The 23627-nt window shown below is 37.4% G+C and overlaps 1 protein-coding gene and 1 pseudogene across 12 annotated transcripts in view; both read left to right on the top strand.

Annotated features, from left to right (window-relative positions):
• The window catches only part of DLG2 (discs large MAGUK scaffold protein 2), a 2173362-nt gene that overhangs the window by 165082 nt on the left and 1984653 nt on the right, over positions 1-23627 (top strand). The gene's annotated exons all lie outside the window — the stretch shown is intronic.
• Positions 9536-10251, top strand: LOC100421303 (DExH-box helicase 9 pseudogene; annotated as a pseudogene).

The raw sequence follows: 23627 nt of genomic DNA, 5'->3' as shown, positions 1-23627 counted from the left end.
TTCATTTTTAACCACTTTGCAGTTATTATTGAGTAATTAATTTAGCATGGGACCCATAAAAGAGATAATGTATCCAACCTTGATACTCCTGAGGATACAATGAAAAATAAAATGATTCCCCATCTTAGGGAATATATTAGTCTGTTAGGGCTGTCGTAACAAAATACTATACACTGGGTAGTTTACACAACAGTTTATTTTCTCTCAGTTCTGGACACTGGAATTCCATGATCAAGGTTCTGGTATGGTTGGTGTCTTGTGAAGGATCTCCCCTTGGGCAGATGGCTGCCTTCTCGCTGTCTACTCATATGACTTCTTTATGCATGTGTGAAGAGAGATACAGCTTGCTTGTGAACCTTCTTATAAGGACATTGATTTTAACAGATCGATGACCCACCTTTCTGACCTCATTTAACCTTAATGACTTCCTTAGAGGTTTTATCTCCAAATGTAGCCACAGTGTAAGTTAGGTTTTCATTTTTTTTTTTAAATTATACTTTAAGTTTTAGGGTACATGAGCAAAACGTGCACGTTTGTTACATATGTATACATGTGGCATGTTGGTGTGCTGCACCCATCAACTCGTCATTTAACATTAGGTATATCTCCTAATGCTATCCCTCCCCGCTCCCCCCACCCCACAACAGGCCCCGGTGTGTGATGTTCCCCTTCCTGTGTCCATGTGTTCTCATTGTTCAATTCCCACCTATGAGTGAGAACATGCGGTGTTTGGTTTTTTGTCCTTGTGATAGTTTGCTGAGAGTGATGGTTTCCAGCTCCATCCATGTCCCTAGAAAGGACATGAACTCATCATTTTTTATGGCTGCATAGTATTCCCTGGTGTATGTGTGCCACATTGTCTTAATCCAGTCTATCATTGTCGGACATATGGGTTGGTTCCAAGTCTTTGCTATTGTGAATAGTGCCACAATAAACATATGTGTGCATGTGTCTTCATAGCAGCATGATTTATAATCCTTTGGGTATATACCCAGTAATGGGATGGCTGGGTCAAATGGTATTTCTAGTTCTAGATCCCTGAGGAATCGCCACACTGACTTCCACAAAGGATGAACTAGTTTACCGTCCCACCAACAGTGTAGAAGTGTTCCTATTTCTGCACATCCTCTCCAGCACCTATTGTTTCCTGACTTTTTAATGATTGCCATTCTAACTGGCGTGAGATGATATCTCATTGTGGTTTTGATTTGCATTTCTCTGATGGCCAGTGATGATGAGCATGTTTTCATGTGTCTTTTGACTGCATAAATGTCTTCTTTTGAGAAGTATCTGTTAATATCCTTTGCCCACTTTTTGGTGGGGTTGTGTTTTTTTCTTGTAAATTTGTTTGAGTTCATTGTAGATTCTGGATATTAGCCCTTTGTCAGATGAGCAGGTTGCAAAATTTTTCTCCCATTCTGTAGGTTGCCTGTTCACTCTGATGGTATTTTCTTTTGCCGTGCACAAGTTCTTTAGTTTAATTAGATCCCATTTGTCAAATTTGGCTTTTGTTGCCATTACTTTATTCAGTCCATAATAGGGAGTTCACTACATGCTAGATTGACATCTCCCTTTGTCAGTTTCCGTCTCCTTTTTTGCTGCTGCATGTGGCTTGGGGAAGTGAAGATAGTAGAGATAATAAAGATAAAGATCAAGGAGTATTCCCCATGCCTAAGTAAACACATTAAAACTGTTAAAAAAATGAATGAGTACTTCCCATCACTGGCCTCTTCAGTCACAGGTACTCAAGGACTTCTCTCACTCTCAGTATTGCTACAGTATATACTCCACTCATGGCAGCATAGTCAGACTCAAATATGGTAGAGATCAGCCAGGAAACTGCATAACTGTTTTTTGCCCAAATGTCAGTTTTCTTGTGTTCTCTTTCCTTGTAAAAATAAGTTTTGTCACAATTGTCAATACACCTGAAAGAAGAGAAATATCTATTTTCTCCCTCAACTGTATTCTTTTCTCTCTTCTATTAACTTTGGCAAGCATCCTGACACATTCAAATGGAGTATATAATAAACTTAAGGCTGAAAAAGGAAACCAAGAGAGGAAAAGTGATGAGAAGAGTGTTTTACAATAAGTAGGAAGAAATGATGTTAATATATATGTACTCTACAGCCTGTTTATCTTGATATGCTGGATTCCCTGGTGTGTATAACTTCCGTAGGAATCCAAGTCCAGTTAAAATGATTGCTGTTTCTGTATGAATGGTAAAGTTTAAGAATAGAAGCTTTTAAATGAAAACATATATTTGCAGTGGTTCTTTGAGAAATTACTCTTCATTTTCTAATGAAGGCCAATAAATGAGCACCACCACAAATCAAACCAACAAATAAGCCAAAAGGCAAAACAAATGAAAATACAAAACCTCAACCCTCATCCCAAATAAAACCTAACCAACAGCATCATCGACAAACATAAACCTCACAAATATACATAAATTACAAGATGTCTAACCTTGGTCTTAGTTTTTCAAAGCAGGAACTTGCTCTACAAAGATCAAGATACTAGAGCTTCTCTTCAGGATCCTTCAATGGAGAACAACTGTGAAGAAATTGGACTAAAGACAAGGCAAATTGATTAAAATATTGAAAAGTGAGGGGTGATCATGGGAGAGGCCAAGATGGCTATTAGTAGCTAGTGTGCACCTCTCTCACAGAGAGAAGAAAGTGGTGATTAACTACTGTATCTTCAACTGGAACATCTAGATGGAAACATTAGGGTTCATCAAGGAAACAACTTGACCCATGGAGAATGGAGCAAAGTGAGACAGGACAACTGCCCACCCAGGAGTGGCATGGAGCCAGAGTAGGCTCCCACACTGCCAGGAAATTGTGAGTGAGTGAGAGTCCCCAGGGACCCACAGTTCTGCCATGGACCTTTGCAACCCTGGGCTCAGGTGATCCATGCATAAGCCTACCCCACCAGAGCTTCCAGACTGACAATGAGAGCTGTGTGGAGTCTGGGCAGAGCTGCTGCCCAGGCACACATGGAATCCTGGGAGCCATGAATTCCTAGGTATCCCAGCATTAGTGACTGGAGCTCCAGCAGTAGGAGAGGTCGGGCTCCCTTCATTCCCCCAGGAAAGTGGCTGAATCCAGAGGGCTGAGCAGCAGTGGACTCCAGGCTTCACCTCCACTGCATTTCACAGGATGAGGCCCAGTGGTCTGGGTCTCCAGCCACCCCCTGTCTGTGCTCTTGGGCTGGTAGCAGCTCTGCACTTCCCTGGGATGGAGCTCCCAGAAAGAGAGGCTGGTTACCTTTGTCGTCTGTCAGCCCCTGCCAATATAGCCTTCAGGCTCTGCAGAGTACTTAATGTTTAGGGAGTGGTACAGATCTCCTGTACAGCACAGCCATCCCATGGAAAAGTGGCCAGAGTGTTCTACACATGAGTCCTGGACCTTACTTGTTTCTTACTAGGCAGGGCCTCTCAGCCTGGAATTCCAGCACAGCTAACTTGCTTCAACCTGAACATTTCAGTTGCAGGTGGTTCAGCATTACTCTGAGGAGGAAATCCCAGAGACAGCCCACAACCCCTCTGGAATTGCAGCTGCAGTGGTATCACCCTAACCACTCTTGGTGTGAAAGCAACAAAGGGCCAGTCACTACATGGGCATCTCCAGCACACTACAGCCACTATATGGAAAGGAGTGATCTGTCTTCCCTGGGAGCTCCCACCCCTTACTCTTTACCAGGCAGGGCCCCGGCTTTGCACCACATAATAGCCACCCATCCACAGCTAAGCATACCCACGGAATGTCTCTGAGTTTCCCTGGGGTGGGGCTCCCTGAGACAACTGGCAGACCCTCTGCCACTGCCACAGCAATGGTTCTGCCCCTGCTACCCTTGGTCTGGGGAAGAAACCAAGAGCCTGAGGGCTTCACCTGAGCTTCCAATACACCACAGTCACCATATGGAGAGAAGCCTGGTCGCTCATCCCTGTGAGCACTCGAACCCCCACTCCTCAACAAGCAGAGCCAGTAGAACAACTGTCTCACCTCCTGGCTGAATTTTCCCAGTAGCAGTGGCTCTACATTTTTCTGAGGTAGAGCTCCTGAAGTCAACCAAAAGGCCCTCTGCTACTGCCACTGCAGTGGTAGTGACCTTGCTGTCCTTGAATTGGAGAAGCAGCGAAGACCCTGAGTGCTTTAACCACACCTCCAGCAAGCTGCTCTTGCACTAGGGAGAAGAGGCCAGTCTGTCTCCCTGTTACCTGTCCCTGACACCCTCTCATCACCAGGCGGGCCTTCCTAGCTTGAGCCCAAAGCACAGGTGCCCCATCCAGGGCCAATTGCACTGATTAATAATGGGTCCACATCTCTCTGGGTTGGAACCCCAAGAGGCAAGTGAAAGGCTCTCTGCCATAACCACTGCTAAGATCCCTTCCCCTTCTGCCCAAGAGTCCCAAGCCAAGATTTGCAGTCAGCACTCAAGTGGGAGAGGAACCCATACTTTCAAAGCACTGAGAAGAAGCATGGCTGCAATCATGAGGAAATAAAGAGGAGCCACACTGTTGATTAAGTGGCTGCCTACAGGCCACTATGTGTAAGTGCCACCTACTGGATCACAGCCCAAAATTCAATACCAAAAATACTTTACTAATATTTGAAACCAAGAAAAAGAATTCAACTACAAATAAGACCTTGCACAAAGCCTCAGCCCTCTGAAAACACCCAGAAAAGAAGTGTACTAACTGTACTGAAACTACACGTCAGTTATCAGAACACAAGCCAACACAGATGAAAAAGAACCAGTGCGAGAACTCTGGCAACTCAAAAAGCCAGTGTCTCCAAATGACCTCACTAGTTCCCCAGCAGGTATTCTTAACCAGACTGAAATGGCTGAAATGACAGAAATAGAATTCAGAATATGGATAGGAATGAAGATCATTGAGGTTGAAAACAATGTCAAAGTCCAGTGCAAGAAAGCTAAGGATCATTAAAAAAATACAGAGGCTGATAGATAAAAATGGCCATTATAAGGAATAACCAAACAGATTTGATAGAGCTGAAAAACATACTGCAAGAATTTTATAATGCAATCACAAGTGTTAACAGGAGAATAGGCCAATCTGAGGAAAAAATGTCAAAGCTTAGAGACTGTCTTGTTGAAATAATTGTCAGACAAAAATGAAGAAGAAAGAATATAAAAGAATGAACAAAACCTCCAAGAAATATGGGATTATGTAAAGAAACCAAATCTATGACTCACTGTTGTCCCTGAAAGAGATGGAGAGAAAGCAAGCAACTTGGAAAACATATTTTAGAATATCACCTGTGAAAGCTTCCCCAACCTCACTAAAGATGTCAACATTCAAATTCAGGAAATGCAGAGAACTTCAGCAAGATACTAAATAAGGGGACCATCCCCGAGACACATAATCATCAGATTCTTCAACATTGAAATGAAAGAAAAAATGTTAAAGGCAGCTAGAGAGAAGGGACGTTCATCTAGAAAGGAAATCCCATCAGGTCAACAGTGGACCTTTCAGCAGAAACCCTACAAGCCAGAGGAGAATAAGGGCCTATATTAAGCATTCTTAAGGAAAATAATTTTCAACTCAGAATTTTATATCCAGACAAACTAAACTTCATAAATGAGAAATAAAATCCCTTTCAGACAAGCAAATGAGGGAATTCATTACCACCAGACTTGCTGCTTTACAATAGGTCCTGAAAGGAGTGCTAAATATGGAAAAGAAAGACCATTACCAGCCACTACAAAAACATGCTTAAGCATATAGACAAGTGACACTATAAAGCAACAACACAAGCAAGTCTGCATAATAACCAGCTAACGATATGATGACAGGATCAAATTGGCATATATCAATATTAGCCTTGAATATGAATGGGCTAAATTCCCCCAGTTAAAAGGCACAGAGTGGCAAGCTGGATAAAGAAGCAAGACCTAATGGTATGCTGTCTTCAGGAGACCCATCTCACATGCAGCAACATTCATAGGCCCAAAACAAAGGGATGGAGAAAAACCTACCAAGCAAATGGAAAACTACCAAGCAAATGGAAAAGCAGGGGTTGACGTCCTAATTTCAGACAAAAGAGACTTTAAGCCCAACAAAGATAAAAAAAAAAAAAAAAGACAAAGAAGGGCATTACATAATGCAAAAGTTTTAATTCAACTGGAAGACTTAAGTATCCTAAATATATATGCACCTAACACAGGAGTGCCTGGATTCATAAAGCAATTTCTCAGAGACCTAGATTCCCACACAATTAGAGTACAGGACTTCAACACCCCACTGACAGTATTAGACAGATCATTGAGGCAAACAATTAACAGATATTCAGGACCTGAACTCAACACTTAACCAAATGGGCCTAATAAAACCCTGCAGTACTCTCTGTTCAAAAACATTCTTCTCATCACCACATGGCACAACTCTAAAGTTGTAATCCTTGGCAAATTCAAAACAATTGATATCATACCAACCACACTTTCAGATCACAGTACAATAAAATAGAAACCAATACCAAGAAAATTGCTCAAAACCGTAAAATTACATGGAAATGAAACAACCTACTCTTGAATGATTTTTGGATAAATAGGGAAACTATGGCAGAAATCAAGAAATTCTTTGACCAAATGAAAACAAAGACAGAACATACAAGAATCTCTGGGACACAGCTAAGGCAGTGTTAAGAGGGAAGTTTATAGCACTAAATGCCCACGTCGAAAGGCTTGAAAGATCTAAAATTAACAACCTAACATCACACCTTGAGAAACTAGAGACACAAGAGCAAACCAATCTCAAAGCTAGCAGAAGACAAGAAATAACCAAAATTAGAGCTGAACTGAAGGAATTTGAGATGTGAAAACACCATACAAAAGATCAATAAATCCAGGAGTTTGTTTTTTGAAAGAATAAGTAAGATAGATAGACTGCTATGTAGACTAATAAAGAAGAAAATATAGAAAATCCAAATAAACACAATCAGAAATGACAAAGGGGACATTACCACCAACCCCACAGAAATACAAATAACCATCAGAACTACTATGAGCACCTCTATGCACACAAACCAGAAAACCTAAAAGAAATGGATAAATTCCTGGACACATACAACCTCCCAAGAGTGAACCAGGAATCCCTGAACAGACTAATAGTGAATTCCAAAATTGAATCAGTAATAAAAAGCCTACCTACCAAAAAAAGCCCAGGACCAGACAGATTCACAGTTGAATTCAACTAGTTGTATAAAGAAGAGCTAGTACCACTCCTAGTGAAACTAATTCTAAAAGTTGAGGAGCAGGTATCATCCTGATACCAAAACCTGGCAGAGACACAATAAAAAGCTGAACATCTTGATGAAAATAGATGCAAAAATCCTCAACAAAATAGTAGCAAACTGAACTCAGCAGCACATCAAAAATCTAATCCACCATAACCAAGTAGGCTTCATCCCTGGGATGCAAGCTTGGCTCAACATATGCAAATCAATAAGACTCAACACATAAACAGAACTTAAAAACAAAAACCACATGATTATCTCAATAGATGCAAAAAAGCTTTCAATAAAATTTAACATCCCTTTATGTAAAAACCCTCAAGAAACTAGGCACTGAAGGAGCATACTTCAAAATAATAAGAGCCATCTGTGACAAACCCACAGCCTACATCATACTGAATAGGCAAAAGCTGGAAGTGGTCCCCTTGATAACCAGAATGAGACCAGTACACCCTCTCTCACCACTCTTATTCAGCATAGTACTGGTAGTCCTGGCCCAAGGAGTCAGGCAAGAGAAAGAAATAAAAGGCATCCAAATAGGAGAAGAGGAAGTCAAACTATCCCTGCTTGCAGATGACATGATTCAATATCTAGCAAACTCTATAGTCTCTGCCTAAAAGCTTCTTGATCTGATAAACAACTTCAGCAAAGTTTTGGGATACAAAATCAATGTACAGAAATTTGTAGCATTCCTATATACAAACAACATCTAAGTGGAGAGCCAAATCAGGAACACAATCCCGTTTACAATTGCCAGAAAAAGAATAAAATACCTAGGAATGTAGCTAACTAGGGAGGTGTAAAATCTCTGCAAGGACAATTACAAAACGCTACTCCAAGAAATCAGAGATGACATACACAAATGGAAAAACATTCCATGCTCATGGATAGGGAGAATCAATATTATAAAAATGACCATATTGCCCAAAGTAATTTACAGATTCAATGCTATTCCTATCAAACTATCAATGACATTCTTTACAGAATTAGAAAGAAACTATTCTAAAATTTATGTAGAGCCAAAAAAGAATCCAAATACCCCAAACAATTATAAGCAAAAAGAACAAAGCTGGAGGTATCATGTTACCTGACTTCAAAGTATACTACAAGGCTGTAGTAATGAAAACACTGATACGAAAACAGACACATAGACCAATGAAACGGAATCGAGGCCCAGAAGTAAAACTGCACACCTAAAACTATCTGATCTTCCACAAAACTAACAAAAACAAACAATGGGGAAAGGACTTGCTATTCAATAAATAGTGGTGGGATAACTGGCTAGCAATATTCAGAAGATTGAAACTGGACCCCTTTCTTACACCGTATATAAAATCAACTGAAGATGTATTAAAGACTTAAACGTAAAACCTAAAACTATAAAAACTCTAGAAGAAAACCTAGGAAATACCATTCTGGACATAGGACCTGGCAAAGATTTCATGACAATGATGCCAAAAGCAATTGCAACAAAAATAATAATTGATAAATTGGATCTAATTAAACTAAACAGCTTTTGCACAGCACGAGAAACTATAATATCAATAAAGATACAACCTAAAGAATGGGAGAAAATATTTGCAAACTATGTATCTGACAAAGGTGCAATATGCAAAATCGATACAGAACATGATCAAATTTACAAGCAAAAACCAAACAATACTATTAAAAAGTGGGCAAAGGACATACATGTCAAAAGACATACATGTGGTCAACAAGAATAAGAAATGCTCAACATCAGTAATTTTTAGGGAAATGCAAATCAAAACCACAATGAGATACCATCTCATACCAGTCAGACTGGCCATTATTAAAACTCAAAAAGTAACAGATGATGGTGAGGTTGAGGAGAAAGGGGAATGCTTATACACGTGGTATACTAGATAAAGAAAATGTGGTACATATATGCCATGGATTACTATGCAACCATAAAAAAGAATGAGATCATTCCCTTTGCAGCAACATGGTTGGAGCTAGAGACCATTATCCTGGGAACAGAAAACCAAATACCACATGTTCTTACTTACAAGTCAGAGCTAAGCAATGAAAACACATGGACACAAAGGGGAACAACAGACACCAGGGCCTGCTTAAGGGTGGAGGGTGGGAGGAAGGAGAGCATAAAAAAATACCTATTGGGTACTATGCTTACTTGGGTGACCAAATAATCTGGACACCAAACCCCTGTGACACAGTTTACCTATACAACAATTCTGTGCATGTACCCCTAAACCCAAATAAAATTTAAAAAAAGACAAAAGTGAGGGGTGATTATGTTGAGTATGAAACTCCTGTGTCTGGGAGAAATTGGCTAATTTCTGGCCAAGGCAATCCAAGGACCTCCACCTTTGGATCCTGTGATTTAGGCAGAGCACACTCTTGGAGAGCTTGATGCATTATATGGCAATGATAAGTTTAATTCTCTAGGATGGGTCCTGACTAAACTCTCCATTGAGCCTCATCTTGGCAAAACGATGATAATGGGGTGTATTTTCTATGAGAGAGATCCTGTCTATACCATCTCTGCTGCTACCTGTTTTCATTGATGAAGGAAAGTGGGATATATCCACCGAAATTTTGCTGGAAACCCATTTTCTGATTATGTGTCCCTTTTATCAGTATTCCAATCCTGGAATGATTCTAGAACGGGTAGAGAAGAAACTCAGATTCAATTTTGTGAGCACAAAAGACTCAATAGGGCTACACTAAGAATGACTTATGAAGCCAAAGTTTAGCTCAAAGAGATTCATATTAATTCTGGATTTCCAGAAGATTATTGACACAAGTGTTTACTAACACTGGACCAGATAATAATTTGGATGCTGTTATCTCCCTCTTGGCCTTTGGTGTGTACCCAAATGATGCTATCAGAAGGAAAAGAGAAATATTCTCACCATGAAGGGCATAATGCACTTATCCACAAATTGTCTGTTAATTGTTTTTTTAGTAGCAAGACAAAAAGTGCTCCTCTCTTTTCTTTGTGTTTGGTGAAAAGCCGGGGGTGACTAAGGCCGTGCCTTTAGCAGAGATGGCTCGGGTTCAAATACTGTCTTTGATCAGGTGTACTTGAATCTGAGCCATCTCTGCTAAAGGCATGACCTTAGTCACCTCCCTGAAGTTGCTTCTCTTTGCCTTCAAGAAAGTATAATGTGATAGGCAGATTGTTCTTGTAGATGACTGAATTAAACTGCAAATATCCCATGAAGCTGCTGCCTGCATTACTGCTTTCCAGGAAATCTTGGAGTTGAAGATTCAACAACCTCTGGTTGTTGAAGTAACAAACAACCTGATATCTTCAGCCAGTTGGACCCTTTTAATTAATATATGCTGAACATTATCCACCAAATCTCTAGGCCCTTAGCTCCTGTTATCAATCTTGTGGTTGGCAATACACAGTATGGAGATGGTCCACATCCTCCCAAGATGGCCTGATATGACAATGGAAGTAGATATAGGAGGGTACATTCTAGTTATGGTGTTGGAGGCTATGGCAGTGGCTACAGTGATGGAGGCTATAGTAGTGGAGGCTATGGTGGCACTACTCCACCCTGTCAGGAAGGATATGGTGGAGATGGTGGTGGAGACTATAGAGGACATAACTGAGGTGGCTATAGTGGTAGCTCTGGTGGAGACTACAGAAGGTCTAGTGGAGGTTTCAGAGGATCTGGGAGATGCCAGTGAGGATATGGAAGGGAGAGCTATGGAAATGGCTGCTTTGGACAAGGAAAAGGAAGTGGTGGCCATTAAGGCTTGGTTATGTCAGTGCCTGTGCATAGACAGTTAAAAAAAAAAACAACTACCTGTTTTTCCCAAGATGTTTGTTTTTCACCAAAAACTAAACCCATTTTCCACACATTCTATGGTTCATTGTAGTTTAAGGAAACCAAGCATATAGATGCATTAGTGATTTTATTTATATTATGTAAAATATAATCTATTATAAAAATACCACAGTTTGTATTTTTTCTTTAAAGAGTAAAGATTTGCTTTTAAAGTTAATTTGATATTTTCTTGGCTTTCATTTAATACATTGGAAAATACAGTATTATACTGAAATAAAAAAAAGAAATTTCAGCTACTCAACATGCAAAAGCCTCGAATGAGTTTATAGAATATAAAAGGAATTAAAACCAGCTAGTCTCAATTTCCATGACAGAGCAATATAAAAATAAACAAAATTAAAAATTGGGCAGGGCATGCTGGCTCACCTGTAATCATAGCACTTTGGGAGGCTGAGGCAAGAGGATTGCTTGGGGCCAAGAGTTCAAGACCAGCCTTGGCAACACAGCGAGACCCTGTTGCATTAAAAGAATGTACTGGGGGCTTACTGTGGGCTAGGTACTGTGCTAGGTACTATATACAAATTATCTAAATTATCTAATTTAATTGTCACAATAATTCTGAGTTAGGTATTTTTACTATCCTTATTTAATAAATGTCAAAATTTGAGTCTGAGAAGAGTTAAGAAGCTTATGAGAAGTTACATATATAAACAAAGCTTGGAGGTATTGTGATTTCAGTTCCAGACCACTGCAAGAAAGTGAATATTACAATAAAGCAAGTCACAATTTTTTTGGTTTAGAGAGCAGCATGAGCCAGTTTAATATTTTCAAATCACTACAGATATTGTGTATTGGGGGTGGAGGGTGCTGGTTACTGAGTAAACAGTTAAATCAGTTACATCTGTTGCAATATTGTGGGTAAGAAATGTTGGTGACTTGGTCTGCTGTTGGAGAGAAGTGGGTTGATTTAAGATATGTATTTTTAGGTAATATTTATGGAATTTGGTAATGGTTTGGTTGTGAGTTAGTGGCAGAGAAGTTGAAGAAGTTATCAAGGCTAGCCATTAGACTTTTGACAATAATAAGTAGGTTGATGGATGTATCATTTGCAGATATGGGTTAGATTAGAAGATGAAGTTTGAGATCCCTATGCGATGTACAGGCAGACATGTAGGTAGTTAGAGATGTGGATTTGGAATTTAGAGGATAATTTTGGGTTGGTGATACACATTTAAGAGTTGTTGGCATGTGAATAATATAAAGTCATGGAAGTGGTCAAGATTTCTTAGGATGAGAATGTAGATTGAGGAGATGATTAGAAACAAGCTCTGAGTGGTTTCAATGTTTAGAAATATGGAGGAAGAGCAAGCAAAGGAGGCAGAAAAAAGCTACATGGGTAGGAGGAAACAAAAAGAATATAGAGTTATGGAAGCTGAGAAAAGAGAAGAAGGAAAGATAGTTCAATTCCACCGAAAACTTCTGAGAGGCCAAATAAATTGAGATTCATAGAAAATTATAGCTAAGTTTTATCTTTGTGCGAATAGTTTCAATGTAATGATGAGAGTAAAAGCCCCAGATTGGGGTTGGTTGAAGAGTGAACTGAGTTTCATTACCAGCAAAATTGCAGATAAAATGTCCTGAAAAAATCTCTAATATAAGATATTTACAATTACTTGATGGAGTAGCAACAATATTTTAAAATTCCTAAGTGAGCTCACAAATAAGTAAAGGAAGTCTGTGGGGGCCAAAAAAGAAGATGAGTTGGAAATAGAATTGTAGGTGGTTGCTGATATCATAGCTATCTAGAGGGCATTTGCTAATTATGGTAATCCTGTTTTAATGACCAGGCAGTGGAGGAGAAAAAGCCTAGTATATACACAGATGTGAAGATATCTCTGAGAACCCACATAAAGCCAGAAATTAACTCTATGATTAATATGAGGGTAGAGGTGAAAAAAAATGTCTCCCTGTCAAATAACGAAGATAAGCAAGACAACTTGGCAAGAAGGTATGTGTTAGCCTGGGCTCTCATAGAAAACAATAGAAATATCTGCTCTGAAAATTGATAACCACAAAGGCTGCCCTGATATCGCTTTCAAGTTAAAATTTATGTCATTTTTTTTTAAAACGGAGTTTCACTCTTGTTGCCCAGGCTGGAGTGCAGTGGTGCGATCTTGGCTCACCATGCAACCTCTGCCTCCTGGGTTCAAGCGATTCTCCTTTCTCAGCCTCCCAAGTAGCTGGGATTACAGGCATGCACCATCATGCCCGGCTAATTTTGTATTTTTAATAGAGACAGGATTTCTCCATGTTGGTCAGGCTGGTCTCGAACTCCCGACCTCAGGTGATCCACCCACCTTGGCCTTGCAAAGTGCTGGGATTACAGGCGTGACCCACTGTGCCTAGTCAAAATTTACGTCATTTTTGTAGTCTGAGCAGTCTAGAGCTAAAAAAAAAAAAAAACTTTAGGTAGTTCCAATTCGAAAGCACTCAGGTGATTGGCAGAAGCAAATGCATATCATCTTTCACTGAATGTAGCTTCAACCCAGGCTTCATGGAGTTACCTAAAAACAGCTTTAATAAAACATAAATTGAGAATGAAAACTACAAAATACATGAGAAATAAATCACTATAAGTGAGACTTACCAGAAAATATCACTAAACACTTCATATAATGTTTAAAATGTTTAAATAAAGCATGTACTCTCTAATATAAGAAAGGAATAAGATATAATTAAAAAGAAGGGGCAGAATAGGAAATAAAAATTACAAAATAGACCTCCTAAAAATGAAAATTATAATAACTAAAAAGTAGATGGTTAAAAAGAAGATTATACAAAAGAAAATTATAAATTAATGAAATAAAGGATAGAGTTAAAGAAATTATCACAAAGAGGTGAAAAACATAAAAGAGTGGTTAAAAGACATGGACATTAGAATGACAAGAGCTGATATCACCCATTGGAGTTCCAGAAGAGACTAGAATTAATGTGGCAGAAGCAATTTTTAAGTCCTGGATGAAAAATTTCCAGAATTGATGGAAGACATAATTCTCTGTTTCAGGAAGCATAAAAATTCTAACCAAGGAAAATAAATAGAAAAAGGAAAGGAAAAAAATTAATAAGCCAAGTATCCAATTTAACATGTTAGAAAAAGGACAGAATAAATTCAATAAAATGGAAAAAAGGAAATAATAGAGAAGATACTGATTGAACAAACAAAACACAGAATAAAGAGGATCAATAATGACTGAGTTTCATTTGATAAGATTAACGTAAACAACTTCTGCCATGTTTGACTTAAAAGAGAGTGGAAGGAAGAGGAGGAGGGAGAGGGAGAGAGAAGCATAAATAAGCACAGTCAGAAATGAAGAATGGGAACTACTTTAAATATATTAGTGTTTGATAGGCTCAAAGGAAAGGAAGGAGCAAGGCTATGTGTAAATGCTTTAGATGTGGATGTGGCAATGGACTTGTTTCCTTGGAAGCAATAAAGATAAGATAGATGTTGAATATTGGGTCCCCAAACCCTTATCTGAAGGTATTTCCTGGATCCTAAATAGAGGCTACTTCTCTGTGTCAAAGTGACTTAGAATCTCCAGACAAGAGTGGGATATTTCATTTTTACTGAGAGAATTTCAGAAGCAAAGTCTCTGATTGTCTTTGATTTTATAGAACAAAGTTTTTCAGTAAGAAAGCAGTAGGCATTCAAAGAAAGGGGTTGTGATGATACTTTATAATGGCAGCATATCCTTGGGTGAAATAGTGTTTCCTTTTAACTTTCCAGCCAGCTTTATCTGGGCCTATTATTCCAGCCTGATGAATGTCAGGGCAGATTTTTGGTGTCTGAATTTATTTTTACTTTCTCACCCCAAATCTTATCTCAAGGTCTCTGCTCATTATTTGAATGCTCAAGGAGAATTGAGGCAATTCCAGAATACTGAATGTAGTGTTTTAAAAATGAATAGTTTCCAGGAAATGGTAAACTTAATGTTGTTTCTTAGCAATAGTCTAGTTTAGATTAGAAATTCATTGATATCCTTTTCTGATAGGGCTTTTTAGATTGCTAAAGCAGGAAAATTATTCCTCATGAAAACATTGTAAGGTACTTTCAAGTATAAAAATCGCTTTAATTTGGATTATTTCATTTGAGTCAAACTATGAGTTTCTTAATTTTCATATTAGCAATCGAGGCTAAGAAATGCTAAATAACTTGCCCAGAGTCAGCTAGCTACTGAGATTTAACTGTCTGTAAGGTCAACGATCTGTCCATTGCTCTAAGCTGCCTCCAAGTTCAGAGAATTCCTAGAATTATTAGACTTTTGGGAAAACATTTTCAAAGAGATTGGTTAAGATCAGTTTGGGAAACAATTGCCTTTTCTGTCTATCTCATCCCTCTCAAATTTATTGATGTACAAGTCTAATTTCAGTTAAAGTTCCAAAATAAAAATACTTATGGTTTCTTTGCTTTCTTGGGATTTGACCTTTTCATAATTTTTTTTTCAGAAATTTTAAGCTTCAAATTTTTACTTTAATGTTTAGGGTAATGACTGAGGGAACACAAATAAATCATGAAATATGTATTAGTTTTCTAGAGCTGCCATAATAAATATCACAAATTCAATTGTTTAAAGAGCAAAAATTTATTTTCTCACAATTCTTGAAGCTAATATTCCAAGATCAAGGTGGTTGGCAATGGTTGGCAAGGTTGGTTTCTTTGGGACCTCTCTCCTTGGCTTGCAGATGGCTATCTTCCCCTTGTATTGTCATATGGTCTTCCTTCTGTATCTGTGTCCTAATCTTCTCCTTTTCTTATAAAGTCACCAGTCATATTGGATTAGGTTCCACCCTAATTACCTCATTTAACTTGATTTCCTCTTTAAAGACCCCATCTCTAAATATAGTCACATTCTGAAGTACTGGGAGTTAGAATTTCAACATATTAGTTTGGGCAGGGGGCAGGGGAGACACAATTCAGTCCATAACAAATGTGTTTTTCATCATAGTATTCTTGGAGTCTGTCAATGTTTCTAGAATTTAGTATTTGTTAAATAAAGAAGTGAAAGCTAGATTATCAGTATGGGTGAAGTTTGAAGACTTAAAGTGAAAATTGTAAGATTAGTTATACAACTAGTCAATTAAATGGCAGATTAGAACTTCTGTACAGTTGGTCTTTAATTTATAATGGTTCTATTTATGATTTTTTGACTTTACAATGGAATATTTTCAACTTATGACCAATGCACACTGTGTTGCCTTTCTCTTTTTAAATAACGTAAAATTGCCGTGATTCATTAGACTAAAAGATTTTATTCAAATGGCAGAATGTATTTATTGTCTTTGATATACAAAGCTTTTTCTTAGAAGTTTTTCATTTTAAAACAAATTTACATTCTAAATTTTAAAATATTATATATCAATATATAAACACACACACACACACACACACACACACACACATATACTATATCCCTTCAAACTGGAGTTGTCACTGAGTAATATTTCTTTTAAGGTAGCTCCAGTTAGGACACAATGGAGATAGCATGGGCTTTAGAATAAGATGCATCTGTGGTTGTATGATTCACGCTACATAATTTTAGTTATTTAAGCCTTAATGAACCTATAAAATGTGAAAAATAGTATTTTATCTTAAATAGTTGTAGCAAGGATTAAATAAGATGTTTATAAAGTGCCTAGAACATTTACCTGATCGATATTTACTAAACAAATGGAAGCTATTATTTTAAGTGATTATTAACAAATTTATTTTCATAAGAATTACAAAGCAGTATGTCTTTGTTATCTTATTACAAGAATTGTTATTTGAAAAAGAATATAAACAACATTTTATGGCCTTCAAAGTAAAATCTAACTAATTTCTCTTAGAAATCTATAACAAAACCATTTCCTCCAATGGCAACAAATGGCACTGTTATTCTTGTGCTAATTGATAGGGCTTATTCTAGATTTGATCTTTCAACATGATTAGATTGTACATTTTGTAGAGGCATGTTAAATCTATCAGACTTAAAATCCCTAATGAAGTTAAAAGACCTTTAAATGTTCTCAAATACTTTGTCCTTAATGTGTCTCACTTTGAAACAACTCAAAACACCATACCAACATTTTATTTTTCAGGTAGATTAATTTAGGGTCTGATGGTTTGTAAGGTAAAATTTGCTCTTTTACTTAAAGAGGAAGGGATCTTTTAACAAACAAAGCCACAAGTTGTAAACAATGGGTTTTAGAGTCAGCAGACATATTTGTGGCTTTGGGCAAGTTGTTTAATATCTCTGTGCCTAAAATTTCTCATCTGTAGATTAGAGGCAGTGTACATAATATATAGAGCAATGTGTGAGTAATGGATGGAAAGCCTCCATGGTTTCCTCCATCAATGGTTTCATCAATCCCAAAATTTTTATAGAGTGCCCACTGTGTTAGGTTCTAAAAAAGGAAATTGTGTGTTTAAAAGAAAAAATAAAAATTAAAACTCTATACCACTTTTAGGAATGTGTCTCTTTTTAAATGAGGTGTGCCTGTTCTGATTAGTGCTTTCAATCTTTTTGTTTTTTTGAGACGGAGTTTCACTCTCGTTGCCCAGGCTGGACAGGAGTGGTGCAACCTCGGCTCACTGCAACCTCCACCTCCCAGGTTCAGGCGATTCTCCTGCCTCAGCCTCCTGAGTAGCTGGGATTACAGGCGCAGGCCATGATGCACAGCTAATTTTTTGCATTTTTCAGTAGAGACGGGGTTTCACCATGTTGACCAGGCTGGTCTCAAACTCCTGACCTCAGGTGATCCACCCACCTTGGCCACCCAAAGTGCTGGGATTACAGGCATGAGCCACCGCGCCCGGCCAGTGCTTTCAATTTTGAGACTCCTATCACAATGGGCTTTGTTGTGGCTCTTCTCCAGAGGTATGGCTTCTGGATTTGTCCAGGAGATGGGAGAGTCTAAACCCTCTCAAAAACATGTCTGGAGTCCATTTCTGCCTGTTTCCTTGTAATTGTTTCTCCCCACCATCCAAAATCCTTTACATTAAATCTTTTAACTACTCCTCTTTGCAGATAGTATTTGTCCTGATTTCAAGATATTGAATTCCTCAACAGCATATGCTATTTAATATCTACCAGGTACAGCATTTTTGGTAGAATTTGTAGATGTTGGTCTATCATTGTTTTAGTACACTTTTATTCCCCAGATTTATGTTGTTTTATCTGTTCTTTCTCTTATTTTATTTTTGGTTTTAATGTTTTAAATTCAACCTCCTAATCCTTTTTATTCTCATGGTTATATTTTATTTTTAACCTTGTAAACAAAGTTATAAATCTTCTCAGCAATGGTTCTGGCAAGTACAGTTTTTGCTAAGAAAGGCAATATACACTATTAGGTTGGTGCAAAAGTAATTGTGGCTTTTGCTATTAAAAGTAACTACAAGAACCACAATTACTTTTGTACCAACTTAACTTTCTAGTAAATGTATTAGAAGCATAGTTATGCAAAATCAAAGACAGAAGCCTATAACAGGTAGCTGCTGTGTTCCTTCCCACCAGCTGTCTCATGAACATAGACCAGAGATCTTTTATTTACTGGCCTGGCAGCCAGAAGAGATGGGCATAGCTCTTGTCGAGGGCATGCATGTTGCCTTGTGGAGAAGATTTATCCATATTCCACTGGCCACAATTTGGACATCTGGCTGCACCTAGCTCCAAAGGATCTTGGTAGTAGAATCTAACTGTGCCTAAGGAAGCAAAGGTAGTAGGATTGGTGAATGTTAGCCAGTTTCCACCAAAATGTGTCTAGCTTTTAAAAGGGTGTATTATCCTGAAAACAAACTGATATTATAACACTCTTTACATACTGCCTGTTAGCCATAGAGCAATTCCACTGGGATTAACTTTTTTTTTTACTCAGCTATAGCTGCAAATGTCGTGGTCAAGGATAACTCCTACCAGTGCTGGCATTCCTACCCCTGTTCATTCCATTTCAGTATACGTTTTTCCAGTTTATATTTTTAGATTTCTTGAATTATGTTTCATTTCTGTTGTGTTTCCAAAAGATTTTTGATTTTGGTAGCATTTTTTTAAGTTGGAGTTAAAATTTTCCACTGTAAAACACATTGAGGTAGTAGGTGAATGAAGTAAAATTATTGAACATAGAGTGAATATCATATAATAGGATATAATGTTCTTGAAAAGTTGGTTCTACATAAAATCATACTTTGCCATTGGTGAATATTTAAAAATTGGAGATTTGATACAATGGTAAAAACAAAATAGAGAAGGCTGGTGAAGAATATAAAGAGCTGGAAGAGGTTGTACATTTGTGTTGTATTTCACAAACATACTCCTGAAAAAATTAGGGCTTACTTTGTTGTTCTTGTAATGATTCACACACACCAAAGAACAGCTTGATAAAAGACAAAACAAAGAGAAATCATTAGTTATGAACATATTCCTTCCAAATGTAGTAAGGCATAATTTAGCAGGCAACAAGTCTCATTTCTGATCACAAATCATTTAAGAAAAAATGTTCTTTCATTTGCAGAATTTTGCTTACTATTTTAATCATTTGACATTTAAATATGGTTTATGTCATCAATGAGATTTTCTATGAAGTGGAGCAATATTTTAATTTTTTATTTCACACATGAAGAAACAGAGGTGTTGAGAAACTGTGTAGCACATTTAAGAGTCACACAAGTCTGGATTGGAATTCTAATTGATTGCAAATGACTTTCAAACGTAAAGTTTTCACATATCACAGAGAAACATAGAATATTAAAGTTGGAGGTGATCTTAAAGAGGTTCTGTCTTTCATAATTGAAGAAATAAGCCTCAGAGAGACTAAGCGACTTGACAATTACACAGCTAGATTACCCACTTAACACAGGGCTATGTTCTATGTTCAATGTAACAAGTACTGTGTTTTAGGTTGAAGTCACAATTACTATTTTCTAGTTATTGTGATAAATTGTGAATGAACAACAATGAATTCTTCACCCAAGGGACTCACAGTCTGATGGAGGAGATTGACATCTTAAAGGGTATTCAGAGAAATCGTGCTGTAGTAGATAAAAAAATTAGTGACAGATCTTAAGAAAAATGTTCTAGTCAAATGTGTATTTTATAAAGATTACACTGACTATTACGGAGGATTTTTTCAATTCTTTTTTTTCACATCTTATTTTCTATTGGAATCATTTCCTGACACCATTAGTTTGTTATATTTCCCCCCGTTGTATATTGTCATAGCACTGTACTTTGCCTAACAACTTAACTTGTTCAAAAAGAAAACCTTTTTATCTTCCCTCCTTCTTCCTCCTTCTTCTTCTTTCTTCTTCTTCCCTTCTTCTTCTTCCTTCTTCCTTTTTTTGAGAGAAGTTCTTGTTCTTTTGCTAAGGTTGGAGTGTAGTCGCGTGATGAAATCTCACTGCCTTGAACTGCTGGCCTCAAGTAACCTTCCTGCCTCAGCTTCCTGAATAGCTGGGACTACAGGTACATGCCACCATGTCTGGCTATTTTTTTTAATTTATTTTTTATTTTTTTTTATTTAGGTAGAGACAGGTCTTGCTATGTTGCCAAGGCTGGTATCAAACTCCTGACCTCAAGCCATCCTCCTTCTTTGGCCTTCCAAAGTGCTGGGATTACAGGCACGAGCCATTGTACCTGACCCAAAAGAAAACTTTTAATTTCTCTTTTGCTATCCTTTTATTTCTAACTTTCTCATCCCTGGTAATGGCACCACCATATACCGAGGTTTCTCATGCTAAACTCTGATGAGTCATTTTTGATTCCACTTTCTTTTCATCCCCGCGTCTAATCTATCATCAAGTCTCACTGTCTCTAACTCTAAATATAACTTGACCATATTTATACTTCTTGTATATGCCACTGCTACTGCTCTAGTCCAAGCCAACATGATGTCTTGCTTAGAGTACTTTAGGAGTTGACTTACTGGCCTTCCTAATTCTACTTTTGCTCCTGGTATCCATTTTTACCACAGCAGTCAGAAGTCTTCTTTAAAAATGTAAGTTTGATCATGTCATTTCTCTGTTTTAAATGGCATTCTACTACACTTAGGATAAAAATCCAAATCTTTTGACATGTTCTGTAAAGATATACATAATATATTCTCTATGGAGCTTTCCGACTTCATCTCCTGCCACTTATTTCCTTGCTCATTGTGTCTCAGCTTGTCCCTAACAGCTTTTACATTGATTTTTTCTTCTGTATGGGATACTTTCCTCTGGATCTCTTCATGGCTGGTTTTCTTCTCATCATTCTGGTCTTAGCTTAAGTCAGAAAATCCTTCCTTTACCACCAAGACTACTTAGCTATCCTTACATCTTCCACTTGTGCTCTATCATATTACTATTTATTATGTTTTAAATAGCACTCGCCATTACTTGAAACTATCATATTTTTAAAATTATGTATTTATTCCTGGACAGGATCCTTGTCTGTCATTCATTTTTATATCCTCAGGGACTAGAACAGTGCCTTTATACATTAGTAGATTCTGCCTAACAGTAGTTTTTAGATGAGTGAATCATAGCATTTACCACACTTTGTGCTATCAATAATTTAATTCTCTTTTTGTGAAAGCTATAAAGTCCACAAGAGTGGGAACCATGGCTACCTTGCTCACCGTTGTATATTCAGAGCTTAACATATAATAATAATAAATATTTGTTGACTGAATGAATAAGTGATCATTGATTGAGACTGGAGTCAGAGATACCAATTTGGAGAGTATTACAGTGATCAGTTGAAAGATAATCAGGACCTTAACAAAATCATTGGCAGAAGGGAGGAAAAGGAAATGAGAGATTTAAGAAGCACATAGGAAATATACTGGAGAAGACTCAGGCCTATTATAAAGGATTGGTTATGAAGAGGGAGGAGTTAACTTCTGGTTGAAAGTGTGGATGATGGTACCATTTACAAATATAAGGAAAACCATATTTAGAGTAGGGTCGGTAAGGGGGAGAAATGAGAGTGGGATCAGGGGAGAAAGTGATGAGTTTAGATTTGACTCCTGAGCTGTGCTTTCTGTGGGATATACAGAAGAAATCTTAATAAAATATATACTTCGGTGCTCTTGTGAGATGTTTAAGCTCTCCTCCATCTCATCCTTGACCCCATCACAAAGGGTTAAGACTTAGGGATGATGTTCCTGTTTTAATACAAGTTACACAGTTATCATAAAAGCTGAAAGCTTAATTGTTTGCTTTTAGGAGGTGTCAAAATGCCCAAATATCAAAATGCTCCTGAATCAAAACAGCTGAGTCAAATGGACGTGACAAGGTACCACCATGCTTCTCAGAGGAAGTCTATTTGAGATCTTATTAATTTTGAGTTTACAGACCCAAATTATCTACTTCATAGGGTTGCCTAGGCCCCATGTTTCATGGAATTTATAACACCAGAGCCTATAAGTTCTGCCAGGAATCTCCACTCTACCTGCTGTGCTTTATACCCACTTATAAAGAGCCTAGTCTTTCTTCTTTAATATACTGTTAGACAAGATGATAATATGGTTGTGTTTACCTAATTTATTTCCCTCTGGAAAAAATAAGTAATCATCACTATAGCAACTTTGTCCTAGTTGAGAGACACACATTTTTAGGAATGAATTTTCAAAAACAGTCTATTACTAGAAATTGAGCATAAAGACACTTGTGAACTATTAAAGTATACTTTGGTGCAAAGCTTCTGTACTCTAAACTTCACGCAGCAAGTTAAGCAGCTGTACAAAGGCATACTCTTGGGAAAAGTGACAGGTGACAGCCTTACTCCTGGGAGAAATGAGAAAAATGTCTGGTTACAATATAGTGACATAATTGATGATTAGGAAGGGAAGGGAGCTAACATTTATATCATGTTTGCTATGTACCAAACATCTTAAATATGTTATCACATTTAATCTTTATCATAGTTCTATAATATTTTATTCTTTTGTACAGATAAGGAAACTGAGACACAGCAATTGTTACATGATTTATCCAAGGTCATACAGCGAATACATAGAAGGGAGACAAAGCAGACATTTAAAAATGATAATGGTTAATAATTATTTTGTTGTAGGCATAAGTCTAACTTCATTATGTGTATCAACACTTTTAATCTTCACAACAGATTGATGAAGTAAATATTAGTCATATTATAATTTTATAGATAAAAGTATTAAAGCACAAAGAAGATAAGTAACCTACCTAAGCCATATAGTAAGAGATAGAGGTGGAATTCAAATCCAGACAGTCTGATTTCAGAGCCTAGGATTTTTACACATTAAAATAAAATACCTCTATCTAGCGTTTATGACCTTATTAAGCAAAAATGGCACTAATCTATACTTTATATTCTCTTCCTTTCTAATATCCAGTCTTCCTGCTTAACTCCAGGCATTTTCCTCCTTACTGCAAACATTTATTCATAAAATAAGGCTCTTTAATATGCAATGTGTCTTCTTAGCCATTACTCTATACTCTGTTACTACTTTTTGACTTTTTGTTTCACACATATATCTCTTTTAATCCCAGTAACAGCCCTAAAAACATATTGTGATCCTCGGATTAAAAGCTGAG

Source organism: Homo sapiens, chromosome 11, assembly GCF_000001405.40.
Source record: "Homo sapiens chromosome 11, GRCh38.p14 Primary Assembly".
Lineage (NCBI taxonomy): Eukaryota > Metazoa > Chordata > Mammalia > Primates > Hominidae > Homo > Homo sapiens.
This window is presented reverse-complemented; position numbering and strand designations above follow the sequence as displayed.